At 60.6% G+C, this 13,201-nt stretch overlaps 1 protein-coding gene and 1 long non-coding RNA gene across 13 annotated transcripts in view, besides 1 other annotated feature; one reads left to right on the top strand and one right to left on the bottom strand.

Annotated features, from left to right (window-relative positions):
* GRIN1 (glutamate ionotropic receptor NMDA type subunit 1) overlaps window positions 1-13,201 on the bottom strand; it is a 29,603-nt gene that overhangs the window by 3,229 nt on the left and 13,173 nt on the right. For 4 of the 9 annotated variants that reach the window (NM_001437330.1, NM_001185090.2, NM_007327.4 and 1 more), the window contains 15 exons: window positions 8,738-8,859; window positions 8,491-8,665; window positions 7,005-7,149; window positions 6,824-6,907; window positions 4,331-4,472; window positions 4,112-4,239; window positions 3,440-3,604; window positions 3,238-3,356; window positions 3,012-3,124; window positions 2,789-2,937; window positions 2,525-2,682; window positions 2,198-2,359; window positions 1,860-1,969; window positions 1,624-1,769; window positions 232-342 (listed from right to left, as the gene is read on the bottom strand). In NM_001437330.1, the coding sequence (NP_001424259.1) occupies window positions 232-342; window positions 1,624-1,769; window positions 1,860-1,969; window positions 2,198-2,359; window positions 2,525-2,682; window positions 2,789-2,937; window positions 3,012-3,124; window positions 3,238-3,356; window positions 3,440-3,604; window positions 4,112-4,239; window positions 4,331-4,472; window positions 6,824-6,907; window positions 7,005-7,149; window positions 8,491-8,665; window positions 8,738-8,859 (2,029 nt within the window). Of the gene's footprint in view, window positions 1-231; window positions 1,357-1,623; window positions 1,770-1,859; window positions 1,970-2,197; window positions 2,360-2,524; window positions 2,683-2,788; window positions 2,938-3,011; window positions 3,125-3,237; window positions 3,357-3,439; window positions 3,605-4,111; window positions 4,240-4,330; window positions 4,473-6,823; window positions 6,908-7,004; window positions 7,150-8,490; window positions 8,666-8,737; window positions 8,860-13,201 lie in introns of those variants that run through there. The other 5 variants (NM_001437331.1, NM_001185091.2, NM_021569.4 and 2 more) reach the window with 2 other exon arrangements.
* Window positions 2,242-2,741: an enhancer, noted in NCBI's record as "H3K4me1 hESC enhancer chr9:140057239-140057738 (GRCh37/hg19 assembly coordinates)". NCBI's record gives its function as "activates a minimal SCP1, AML or CMV promoter by ChIP-STARR-seq in naive H9 embryonic stem cells {active_cell/tissue: H9 hESC(naive)}" and the evidence as "EXISTENCE:reporter gene assay evidence [ECO:0000049][PMID:30033119]".
* Window positions 4,468-10,506, top strand: LOC105376328 (uncharacterized). Of its 4 annotated transcripts, none has more exons than XR_007061876.1 (3): window positions 4,468-5,340; window positions 5,751-5,819; window positions 6,542-10,506. It is a non-coding gene; the product is annotated as an uncharacterized LOC105376328 (long non-coding RNA). The 4 variants fall into 4 exon arrangements; XR_007061877.1 differs by having other exon boundaries at window positions 6,539-10,506; XR_007061878.1 differs by having other exon boundaries at window positions 4,468-5,344; window positions 6,539-10,506.

Genomic DNA, 13,201 nt, shown 5'->3' with positions numbered 1-13,201 from the left:
AGACTAACGGAGACACACGGGGAAAGCCGAGGACCCAGGAGGGCCGGGGAGAAAGGTCCAGAGAGTGAGAGAGAGCAGCATGGGCGGGCTGGGCAGAGCGGCCGCCACAGGGAGACAGGGGCAGAGTGGGCCACAGGAGCCCAGGGTCCGGGGCGGGGTGATGGGGCGGGAGACACACGCAGGGCAGGGCAGGTGGAGTCGGACGCGGGACTGGGGTGCTCTCCCCCTTACCGTGTCTTTGGAGGACCTACGCCTCTTGAAGCTGGAAGCCAGGGTGGAGGTGATAGCCCTAAATGTGGCTTTCTTTTTAGGGTCAGGCTCTGCTCTACCACTCTTTCTATCCTAAAATGAATATGTATAAGTGATTAGATGGCTAGGGTGGTGGCCACACCTGCCCTCGCCTGCTCCTGCATGGGCCGCTGCCCAGCCTGGCCGGCCACTTGGGCCCTCGCTCCTGCCTGCCTCCCTGTGCTGGACAGACGGGCCGACAGCGGACGTTCGAGGGTGGCCTCTTCTCCTGCCCGGGGTCTCGGGCCTGACCTTGCTCGTGCTGGGGCTGGGCTTGGGGGCTCTCGGCTGGCTCTTCCTGGGAGGTCCGCCTGGCTCCCTGGCTCCTGGGTGGCCCTGGCTTACAGGCGTCCCGAGGAGGAGGAGTCCTCTGAGGACTGGAGGAGTTGCCCCTCAGGCCACACCAGCTGTCTGCGTGGAGGCCACTGACCCCCAAGGGGCACACACCAAGATTCAGGAAGGGGCCGAGGGCTGGAGGCAGGTGTCGAGGTGGAATTGGAGTGACAGAGGCAGCTCCCGGGACTCTGGCCTCAGGTCTGATGGCCAGGTGGCCTGTGCCCGCCAGTGCTGGCAGCGGCCAGGTCCCCAGGGGACCTGTGGGGGCCAAGAGCAAGAGCGGGCGGATGAGAGGTGTGGAGCCTCCAGCAACCCCCATCCCCCAGCAGCCCTGGCCGCACTGTCGGCTTCATCTCAGGACACAGGCTCCAGGACGGCACCCAGAGAAAGAGAAGAGACGGAGTGAACCGGAACTCGACCGCGGGCCACGAGCCCTTAGGCCTGTACAGGCCCACTGCCCACCCTGTCCCAGGTGGGCCGTGGCTGCCCTTGCTGGTGGCAAATTCTCATGGATACAACCTGGGCACCAGGCAGGACCGGACCTGGCCCAATTCGGATTAGAGTCACGGAGCACAAGGACATAGCAGGAAAGGGGGGGGTCTCCGAAGGGTGTCAAGGGGCTTGGGTCGGCGGAGGGCAAAATGCATCTTGGACTCACGTGCCATACACAGGCGGGCCCCTGTCTTACCCTGCCTGATTGCCTTCCTATGGAATGGGTACCGGCGGGCGACTCTGGAGACAGAGGGGCCAGGCGGAGGCTTGGAGCAGGGTGCGTGGCCTCCCTCGGCCCCGGCTTTGCAGTGGGCAGCCACCTGCAGGCAGCCCCCCACCGGTGCTGCCCCCGTGCCCTGGGAGCACTCACCACTGCCCCTGGCCATGGCTCCTAGCTCCAGTCCTGCCCACCAGAGCCAGAGCCAGTGCCACGGCCTTCGGGGATGGAGGAGGGCCGTGGCCAGGCCGGGCCCTGGGCACCAGGCCTCGGAGGGTGGCCTGCCCTACCTGCAGGTTCTTCCGCCACACGTTAACGGCGGCAAAGGCCAGCTGCATCTGCTTCCGGCGAGCATCCTTGTGCCGCTTGTAGGCAATCTCGATGAAAATCAGGAAGATCCCGGCCACGATGCCCCCAGCTACCAGCATGAAGACCCCTGTGTGCCGGGACCCAGAGCCTCAGTTGCTGGCCAGGGAGGCCGCAGCCCACGGAGAACCCACCCGAGAATGGATGAAGGAGAACGCACCGGCCATGTTCTCAAAAGTAAGGGTCGCAGGGGCGTTGCTGCGCGAGTCACATTCCTGATACCGAACCCACGTCTTGTCCAGGTCTTCCATGAAGCCATTCTCGTGGGACCTGGCGGTGGGAACAAGTGAGCCTGCAGTGAGGCGGGGCCCAGGACGGGAAGGAGCAAGCTGGGGGCGGGGCCGGGGCGGGGCCTGCGGGGTAGGGTGCGGCGTGGAGTGGGCAGCGCCCGGCCTGGGTGGGAAATCAGTGGTGGCCTCGGAGTGGTCTGGCACTGGGGAGGGCGTCCACCTCTGGCGGAGAGGGGCGGAGGAGGGACGCGGGCGCACGGACACTCACTTGAGGATGGACAGGGAGACGTTCTGCTTCCAGGGGCTGTCTTTGCGCATGCCTATGCCGAAGCCCGAGCGGAAAAACAGCTCTCCAGTCGTCACCAGGTCGCACTTCTGCGAGGCCTCGAACTCCAGCACCGCCGAGTCCCAGATGAAGGCATGCAGCTTGCTGCCGGCAGAGGCGGAGTCACGGGGGCCTTGGTCCTGCCAGCCTGGAAGCCCCACGCCCGCGCCCTCCGGGGTGCCCGGCCCGGACGCTCTCCTGCCCGGTGGAGGCCACCCTCCCCCTCCCCGCACCTGTCCCGCCCCGCCAGGGTGGCCGCCCGCGCCTCACTTGTCTCTCACGGCCTGGATGGCCTCCGCCGCACTCTCGTAGTTGTGCTTCTCCATATGCCGGTACATGGTGCTCAGCTCCACCTGGCGCCGGAAGTAGATATCCACGGAGCTCTGCTTCACCGTGGCGTAGATAAACTTGTCCGAGGGGTTCCTCAGCTGCAGGGTCGGAGGGCAGGGATCGCGGCGGCGGCTCCCCAGGCCCCTAACCGAGGCCGACCCCAGCTCACCTCGCATTCCCTCCCCCAGCCCGGCCAGGCCTCACCCGAGGGTCGTTGATGCCCGTGATGCGCTCCTCCGGCCGGTCCAGCACCAGGAAGGCCGCCAGGTTGGCGGTGTAGGAGGCCACGATGATCATGGCAAAGCCGGCCCACACCATGCCCAGGATGCGCGCTGAGAAGCTTCTGGGGGCGCCTGTGGGCGGGCGGGGGGCTCTGTCAGACCCTAGAGGGCCGAGGCGGGACCAGGCGGGCCGGGCGGGGCCTTACCTTCCCCGATGCCGGAGTTGAGCAGGACGCCCCAGGAGAACCACATGGCCGAGGACAGGGTCAGTGCGTCCTCCTCCTCCTCCTCGCTGTTCACCTTGAACCGGCCGAAGGGGCTGCGGGGCGCAGAGGGCGGGCGGGAGAGAGGGCGGGAGAGGCGGCCCTGCCCCGCCCCTGGCCGGCTCCGCGCCCCGCAGATGGAGGTGTCTGAGCCCCGGGTCGCGCTCACCTGAAGCGGTCCAGCAGGTACAGCATCACGGCCACCACGTGCACCGACAGCCCCACCAGCAGCCACAGTGTGCTCTGGAACGGCTGCATGAACGAGTCCAGCGTGCTCCGGGGAATCTCCTGCGGAGGGACGCGAGGTCAGCGCGGCCCGGGCCCTCCAGGGACTCCCCCCGCCGCCACCCCGCCACCCGGCCCCTGCCCACCTTCTTGACCAGAATAGTCAGGCCCTGGTACTTGAAGGGCTTGGAAAACTCGATGTACTGCGCGCGCTCGTTGTTTATGGTTAGCGGCGCCACGATCATGTCTGCCTGCCCGCTGAGCAGCTCGCCCATCATCCCATTCCACTCCTTCTTGTTGCTGTTGTTCACCTGCGAGGCGACAGAGCCGGCGGGCATGCAGGCAGCGTCCTCCCAGCTCCCGCCACAGGTACCCCCGACTGAAGCCGCCCTAGAGCACTCCGGGGGTCTTCTCCCCAAGACCCTACCCAGCTCGCAGGCCCCACCCCACTCCAGCCCCGCCCTGGCTCGCAGACCCCTCCCACGCCGGGCGGGCCCCACCACAGCCAGCAGGCCCCGCCCACTCCACGTCCCGCCCACTCCAGACCCCCGCCTGCAGGCCCTGCCCACTCCGTGCCCCACCCACTCCGACCCCCACGTCAGGCCCCTCCCATGTCAGGCCCCACCCAGCCCTCAGGCCCCGCCCACCCCATGCTTTACCCACGCCAGGACCCAGCCCGCAGGCTCCGCTCACTCCATGCCCCACTCACCCCAGGACCCCCCACCATCTGCAAGCCCCGCCTACTCCATGCCCCACCCACTCCGACCGCGCCTGCAGGCCCCTCTCACGCTGGTCCCCACCCCCGCCGTCCAGCCTACCCGCTCCTGTGTGCCGAACTTGCCATCTGCCACCAGGTGCACCTCGTAGGTGAAGTTCATGGTCCGTGCCAGCTTGATGAGCAGGTCGATGCAAAAGCCGTAGCAACACTGAGGCACCGTGTGGCGGGCTGGGTAGGTGCGGGCGGTAACTGCTGGGCTCCAGACCGCCCCACGCCCCGCGCCCTGCCCCGCGCCCCGCGCCCTGCCCCGCGCACTCACGGCTGCCCGGCGACGTGTCGTTGGGCCCGGTGCAGATCACCTTCTTGACTGGGTCGCCGTTGACTGTGAACTCCTCCTTGCATGTCCCATCACTCAGCGTGGGCTTGACGTACACGAAGGGCTCCTGGTGGATCGTCACAATCTGGGGGGGAAGGGGAGACCCAGCCTGGACCACCGACCTAAGGCTGCCCAGGGCGGCAGTCTCTTCTCAGCTCCCAGCCTCCCCTGGCGCCCCTCTTAATCCCCGACGCACCCCTCACACCCCCCGCCCTGCGCCGCCGGCCACTGCCCCTCTCTGGAGCTTCTTCACGAGCCCAAGTGTTCAGGACACGTCCTCCCCAGCCACCGTCAGCATCGTCTGCCTGCAGCCCCGGGGGGGTGGGGGCTGGGGGCTCAGAAAAGACTCCTGGAGAGCTGGACCCTTCTCTTGGCCACTTTTTCTCCAGTCTTGGCTTAGACATGATTCCCCGCCAGGTGCTGTGGCTCACGCCTGTAATCCCAGCACTTTGGGAGGCCGAGGCGGCCGGATCACGAGGTCAGGAGATCGAGACCATCCTGGCTAACACGGTGAAACCCCGTCTCTACTGAAAATACAAAAAAATTAGCCGGGCGTGGTGGTGGGCACCTGTAGTCCCAGCTACTCAGGAGGCTGAGGCAGGAGAATGGCGTGAACCCGGGAGGCGGAGCTTGCAGTGAGCGGAGACCGCGCCACTGCACTCCAGCCTGGGCGACAGAGCGAGACTCTGTCTCAAAAAAAAAAAGACATGATTCCCTCCAGCAGAGGAGCCGCTGATGTCCCGTGTATGCCAGGCATCTTCCTGGGGTGAGAAACAGCCCAGCCTGCAGGCTGACCCCCACCCTGCTGTGCCACGAGGACAGGGGCATGTCCACAAAGCCGACCCTGCACCTGCACAGGACCTGGGACCCGTGGGGCCACCCACCCGTGCCTCCCTTCATCCCGGCGCACTGCCTGTCCCGGCCCCCAGTCCCGAAGCCCTCAGGCTTTGAATGTAGGTCTCTGGCTCCTTTCTCTTGCCCGTGTGTACGTGCTCCACCGCGCCGTGGCCTCTTCGACCCACACTCCTGCTTGGGCTCGCCCTCCTGTCTGTCCTTCAAGGGACCATGGCATGGGGGTGGGGAAGGGATCTGGGGCACAGGGGGCTGGAATAGAGCATAGCACACTGCCAGAACTGTGAGGGGAGATGGTGTCAGAGCTGAGCCCTCAAGGTGGGCAGGGATCAAGCAGGTGCCTGAGGGCAGGTGGAGCAGAGGAGTCTGCAGTCCAGAACTGCAAAGGCAGGGAGGCGTGGGGGTGGTGGGAGAGGCACCCTCCCGGCATGTCCTAGGCAGGGTGAGCCTGAGAGGGGGGCAGGCCCGCCCACCCTCAGCCTCCAGGCAGCATTTTGTCTTTTATCCCCAGGGGAATCAGGAGCCATTGAAGAAGTTGATTTGCTTTATAAAACTTTCATTACATTTTCCTGTTATACAGGTAATATATATGCTAGTATTTTTAAAAAATTAGTGAGGCCAGAAACAAATTTGTAAAAAGCCATCTCCATCTCACAGCCTAGATGGGGCCTTTTGGCCATTAGCGTTTGACCGCTGCTTTCAGACTTTTCAGTGTGAGGTGTCTGGGCTGCAATGAAACCCACACTGGCACTGGAAAACCCCACCCTGTCTGCAGAGCAGGGAAGGGAGCTTGGGTGAGAGGCCACAGGGGCCGGTGCAGAGCAGGGGAGGGAGCCTGGGTGAGAGGTCACAGGGGCTGACACCAAGCTTCAGGGGTGGGCTCAGAAAACAGACAGGGTCAAGAGACATTTGAGGGCTTGGAATGACCGAGAGAAGGTTGGTGGGCGTGTCGCCTGTGAGGTCCTTGCCTTTGGTGGTCTGTGATGCTACCAGGACTGGAGTGTGTGTGGAGTGGGGGTAGTGTGGCTCTGCCCGGGGAGGAATGGCCAGGAGAGCACCCTGGAGTAGGGAGCCAAGGGAAAGATGTTCTGGAGGAGGAAGCCGGCGAGGGCAGAGGCTCTCAGAGGCCCAGGGGAGTCAGGAAGGGCTGTCCCACACGGTGGAAGAGGACAGTTTGACCCGGTCCCATCAAGAGCAATGCAGGCTGGAGGAGGGATGAGGGGTGTGGAGGACCAGGACTGGGGACAGCGAGTGCTGAAGCTGAGGTCTGCCTGCTGTCCCCCATCTGCTCTTCCCCAGCAGGGTCCTGTCAGACAACTAACTGCCCCAGACTTAAGTAGGGCTGGGTCAAGAGGGGCACTGGAGACCCCCTGTGGGATGGGGGCAGCTTCCTCTCCTCCCTCCTGTTCTCTCTGCTTCCTGTGCTGTGCCAGGTGTGCTGGACGGTGTCCAGGGGAAGCAGGCCCCACCCCCACTTCCTTTAGTGGCTTTCATTGACCTCACCGCACCCTCCTCCTTCAGGCCAGAGGGGGTGGATGGGCTGTCTGGGGTGGGGACACTGAGGGAGGTCTGTGGGGCCCCCACCTTCAGTCTGGTGGACATCTGGTACCCTCGAGGCTTCTCTGTCTCTCCGCCTGGCCAGATGATCTTCCTGTCATTAGGGATGACCTGGGGGTGGGAGTATGAGATGGAGGGTGGCCACGCAGGGGTCTTGGCCCCAGGACCCTAAGGCCCCAGCCCCCACCCCCTCATGACCCCCACCTACGTGGGTGCCATTGTAGATGCCCACTTGCACCAGCTTGCGGTTCTGCAGGTTCATGATGCTGTAGTTGGCGAACTTCCGGTCCCCATCCTCATTGAACTCCACGCGACCAGTCACCCCATCCGCATACTTGGAAGACATCAGCACTCTAGGGAAGGAAGCATAGCTGAGGCTTCTCAGAGATGCTCCTTCTCCTGCTCCTCCCTGCTCCTTCCCCCTGCTGCTTCTCCCTGCTCCTTCCCCCTGCTCCTTCTCCCTGCTCCTTCTCCTGCCGGCTGAGCAGCTTGGGCTTTTCCCTTGTCCCAGTCCCAAGAACGGAAAGATCAGCAGACGCCAGACCCTGGACACCGTGGTATCTGCCTGCACCAGATGGACGGTGTGGTTCATGACAGCTGAGTGGTTTATGGGTGCCAGACCCGGCTTTCTGTGGGTTAGGACGTTGTCCTCAGAACCATCCTGCCTTACAGAGACGGAGGCAGAAGCTCAGAAGGATGCCTGCCCTCTTGCCAGCAAGTGAAGGCGAGGTTGAGCCAGCTCTAACCACCAGGCTGTCCTGTCCGGCTGTGTGTGCACGTGTGCATTGTACCCATCGGGCCACATCAGTGAACCTGTGTGCACACGTGATCCCTATGTGGGGTGCACCCCATGCATGTGCTTGTGTCACATGTGTGTCATGTGCCTGAGTCTGTGTGCACACATGGTTCTGTGTATGTGTGTCGTGTGTGTGCACACGTGCTGCCTACATCTGCACTTATGTGGGCGTTGTGGATGGTGGCTCTGCACGTGCTACTCAGTGGTTGGGGATCTGGGGGTGAGCTGGCATGGCATGGTGTCCAGGCGTGCTGTGAGCTAACTCCTGCCACACTGCAGATGTTCACTTGGGTCTCTGGGCCTTGGCCAACCCTGGCTGTCTAAGGCTCGTGTGCTGTTCTTGGGCTGCTTGTCTGGCCTCCTGGGTCCCTGGAAGCTTTCAGTCCCCATCTGCATCAAGAGCCTCCTCCCAAAGGCTGCCAGCCACACAGGGAGAGGGGTGCTGTTTCAGGGTGGGCTGCAGTGTGGAAAGTAGGGGCGGAGGCAGTGGAGCCAGTCCCCACTCCAGTGACGGCCCAGGTACTGGTGTCAGTGTTGAGAAGAGGGCAGATGATTGTGCCATTAGATGTGGTGGTGCTGGGGGTGTGGGGGGAGAGGAGAGAAGTAACAGTGTCCAGAGGATGTTGGCAGCAGGCTCCACTGCAGTACCCCTGAGAGCGACGCCGCCCACCTCCTGGAAGCGACCCCGCCCACCTCCCCGAGAGTGCCCCCACCCATCTCTTGAGGAGCGCTCCCCCAGCTCCCTAAGAGCGGCCCCGCCTAGTCCTGAGAGCTGCTCCGCCCAGCTCTGGAGAGTGGCCCCGCCCACCTCCCCAAGAGCGGCCCCGCCCATCTCTGGAGTGACCCCGCCCACCTCCCCAAGAGCAGCCCCGCCCAGCTCCGGGGAGGCCCCGCCCACCTCTTGAAGAGCGGCCCGGTCTTCCAGATGTTGGTGTTGCCCACGCAGCCCCGCGGCGGGTCGGTGATGTTCTCCTTCTCGAGGAGCTCGTGCACGGCCTGGGCCACCACGCCCACGGCGTCGCTGATGTGGGCCGACTCGTTCTTGCCGTTGATGAGCTGCAGCCCGAGGATGCCTAGGCGAGCATGCGACTCAGAGCCCGTGGGGTCCTCCCCGTTCGGGGACCCCGCCAAGGCCCAGCACTCACCGTCTGGGGCGTAGCGCAGGGCGTTCCCCGAGATCTCGCGCTCGCCGACCAGCCACACGTACCCGGAGCCCGTCATGTTCAGCATCGCGGCTGCGCGGTATACAGTGGCAGCATCGTCCTCGCTGTGGGGCAGACGGGGATGACGGGCCAGGACTCCAGCACTCCCACCGCGGCGCTCCGCAGGCCCAGGTCCTCCTCCTCTGGAGCAGGGACCTGCCCAGCCCCCATCCCCTCCTAGAGCGAAGCCTGCAGACCTCGCAGAGGCGCTGCGGCCCAGAACCCAGGAGCCTCCCAGGCCTCCGTTGCTGGCTCTTACCTTGGGGGAGCAGGGATGGGGTTAGATGCTGGCCCCCTTACCTTGGGGGAGCAGGGATGGGGTTAGATGCTGGCCCTTACCTTGGGGGAGCAGGGGTGGGGTTAGATGCTGGCCCTTACCTTGGGGGAGCAGGGATGGGGTTAGATACCTGGCTTATGGGACTGACTTCCTTCTTGTGACCTGCACCTGTGCTCCCCAGCACGCCCTTCCCTCCACCTCAGAAGGCTCTGATGGGGTCCCAGGATGGTAATGGATCACCATTGATCACTTGCTGGCCAGATACCAGGCACTGCTCGAAGTGTTTTACGGGGATTATGTTGTTTAACTTTCACAATATCTCTGTGTCCCGAGGGGAAGCGGAGGCACATGGGACACACAAGAGTTGGTAAGTGGCAGAGTCAGGACCCGAGCTCCTAAGACCTCCTAGACAGGCCACACCCCTCTGGTCCTCTATGTTCAAACATGTGAAATGAGGGGTTGAGTGGCTCTCCAGGTTGGTGAGATATTGGTGGATCCAGCGTCCTGGGGACGGCCAGAGATGAGAGGCGGCTTTCCCCCTGGAGTCTGCATAAGCAGCTGCCTTCGCCCAGCCACCCAGGCCTGGGGCCTGCAGGAGGACAGAGCCCAGACAGGCCTCACCTTGCAGGCATGTGTGGTCTTGAGCTCTGCCAGTGTGCTTGCAGGTGGGCCCCTGTGGACAGTGGAGCAGGGGACCTGGTCCTCTGGGGCTGGGGCCTCTCTGGTTATGACAAGGACCTGGAGACCTGGTGGGACTCTGGAGGCCTTTGGGGGGTCTTCCCTCACCCCCGTCTGTCAGACCTTTCTCTGCAGGGCCTGACCTGTCTCCAGGTGGGCCTGGACTACCCCTGACACTTTGCTTCTCCAGACATGGGCAGCAGGGTTGGGTGGATTGCCTGAGTGTTGGATAATTTTCACAATACTTGACTGGAAACCAAGGTGGCCCTCCCCTCCTTGAGGAGGGATCTGCCCCCAGTTTTCTCGAGAATAAGCCCACAAAGAAATGCAGCCCTTCGGTGTTTGCTCTACATAACGATGCTATTGGATGTCAGTGACACAAAACAGAAGTGCTCCCAGTAGCACTGGCCCAGTGCCCCAAATGAGAGCATCTAGCAGAGGCTCCGCACACTGAACACAGCACAGCTTGTCCAGCAAGACCCAACACCACACGTGTCATGGCACAGCATGCCCGCTATCAAAGTGCCCACCAGGGCCTGACAGACAAGCCCGTCTTCTTGACGCAATTCAGGTCCATGACATGTGATGTGGTGGAATGATTAGGAGCAAAACAGTTGTAAACAAAAGCCTGATCTGTCCATCAAAACTCATCCGATCGTTTTATGGAAATAGCTGATACCAATCAAGATGACTTCAGGAAAATGAAAAGTTTTGGAAACAAATTATCTGCATGCTATGGAAAATTGTCAAAAATTAAGATTGGCGTCATGTCTCTCTGCAAAACACCCTCAACAACCTTCACTAAGGAGGAGCCAAAATATGACAGGCTGAAGGTCTGGGGTCAAGAAGGCCTGTGCCTGCCACTGCCCAGGGCTTGCCTCTCTGCACTCCTGGGAGATGGGCATGCTGGGTGGGCCAGTCGGCCTCTGCTGTGGGACTTTGGCCTCCACTCCAAGGAGCTCAGCATGTGAGAGGAGGGTCCTTTCCAGCCCTGACAGTCCAGAGCCATTGCTCTGAAGTATTTTGAGGCCAGGCGCAGTAACTGATGCCTGTAATCCCAGCACTTTGGGAGGCCGAGGCGGGCAGGTCTCCTGAGGTCAGGAATTTGAGACCAGCCTGACCAACATGGAGAAACCCCGTCTCTACAAAAACAAAAAAATTAGCCGGGGTGGTGGCGCATGCCTGTAATCCCAGCTACTCGGGAGGCCGTGGCAGGAGAATCGGTTGAATCTGGGAGGCGGAGGTTGCAGTGAGCCAAGATCGCGCCACTGCACTCCAGCCTGGGTGACAGAGTGAGACTCCATCTTAAAAAAAAAAAAAAAAAAAAAAAAAAAAAAAAAAAAAAAGTTGTTGGAGCTGGGGGTGGTGGCTGATGCCTGTCATCCCAGCCCTTTGGGAGGCCGAGGTGGGTGGATCACTTGAGGCCAGGAGTTCGAGACCAGCCTGGCCAACATGGCGAAACCCAGTCTCTACTAAAAATACAAAACTTAGCCAGGCATGGTGGCCTGCACCTGTAATTCCAGCTACTCGGGAGGCTGAGGCACGAGAATCACTTGAACCTGGGAGGCCGAGGTTGCAGTGAGCGAAGATTGTGCCACTGTACTCCAGCCTGGGTGACAGAGCAAGACTGTCTCACACACACACACAAAAAAAAAAGAAAAAAAAAAAGGCAGGCACGGTGGCTCATGCCTGTAATGCCAGCACTTTGGAAGGCTGAGGCAGGCGGATCACCTGAGGTCAGGAGTTCAAGACCAGCCTGGCCAACATGGTGAAACCTCATCTCTACTAAAAATACAAAAATTAGCCGGGCATGGTGGCACACACCTGTAATTCCTGCTACTCAGGAGGCTGAGGCAGGAGAATCGCTTGAATCCCAGGGGGCAGAGGTTGCAGTAAGCTGAGATCACGCCACTGCACTCCAGCCTGGGCAACAGAGCAAGACTCTATCTCCCCAAAAAAGAGAAAGAGTTATGTTGGCGGGTGTGTGGTTGATGTGTGCTGTGGTCAGTGTATGCATATGTGTGGGGTATGGTGTGCATGTAGCATGGGTGTATGGGTGTGCACATGGTGTGTGGTGCGCATGTGTGTTGTGATGTATGTGCATGTGTGCTGTGTGTACATGTATGTAGGTGTGCGTATATCAGTGGATGTCTTTGTATGTGATGTATATGGTGGTGTGTGTGCCTGTATCTGTATGTGTAGATGCACGTGTGTATGGTGTATGCATGGTGCATGTGTGTACACATGTGGTATATGGCATGTGTGCACATGTGTATGTGTTGTGTATGACCTGTACATGATGGTGCATGTGTGGGTAGAGATGTATGTGTAGTGTGACTATGGTGCGTACATACATTTGTGTGTGTATGCATGGAGCATGTGGTGTGTATGTGGCATGTGCATACATGCGTATGTGTTGTGTATGACCTATACACAATTCTGCATGTGTGGGTAGAGATGATGCATGGTGTGACTATGGTGTGTGTACATACATTTGTGCACATGTGTATGGTGTATGCATGGTGCATGTGTGTACACGTGGTATGTGGCATGTGTGCACATGTGTATGTGTTGTGTGTGACCTGTACATGATGGTGCATGTGTGGGTAGAGATCTATGAGTGGTGTGACTATGGTGTGTGTACATACATTTGTGCACGTGTGTGTGTGGTGTATGCATGGTGCATGTGTGTACACGTGGTGTGTATATGGCATGTGTGCACGTGTATGTGTTGTGTATGACCTGTACATGATTCTGCATGTGTGAGTAGAGATGTATGAGTGGTGTGATGGTGTGTGTACATGCATTTGCGCACATGTGTGTATGGTGTATGCATGGTACATGTGGTGTGTATATGGCATGTGCATACATGCGTGTGTGTTGTGTATGACCTGTACATGATTCTGCATGTGTGGGTAGAGATGTATGCATGGTGTGACTATAGTGTGTATACATGCATTTGTGCACGTGTGTATGGTATGTGCATACACATGTGGTGTGTGGTGTGTGCTCATGGGCATGGATGTGTGGTATGCACGTGGTTCCTGTGTGCCCTGACCATGTCCCTTCCCCTGGGCTGGCCTTTTTCTTAGGGCCATGTCTGGAAACGTGACCTTGGCCCTGAGGCTGGCAACGCGGGGTCAACCTGTGGGACCGCAGTGCACGGCTCAGGGGCTCACAGGCCGAGAAAAAAAAGTGGAGAAAACGCCCCCTCCCCTCTCTGTGGGGACCTGGGCATGGCGGGGTTCTGTGGATTGGTTTTGTATGTGGTTTTCTCTCCCGTGTCCTGTTGGTCACTCCAGTTAGAATGTAGGGATCAGGCAGGTCTAGCTTGATGTGAACTTGTCTATTGCAAAAGTGGCCAACAGTGGAACAGGTATGTTTTAGGGCAATCGATTCCTTGAGTTGACCCATCTTGGATGAAGAAATTCCACTTCCCAGCCAGCTGTCTG

Source organism: Homo sapiens, chromosome 9, assembly GCF_000001405.40.
Source record: "Homo sapiens chromosome 9, GRCh38.p14 Primary Assembly".
Taxonomy (NCBI): Eukaryota; Metazoa; Chordata; class Mammalia; order Primates; family Hominidae; genus Homo; species Homo sapiens.
This window is presented reverse-complemented; position numbering and strand designations above follow the sequence as displayed.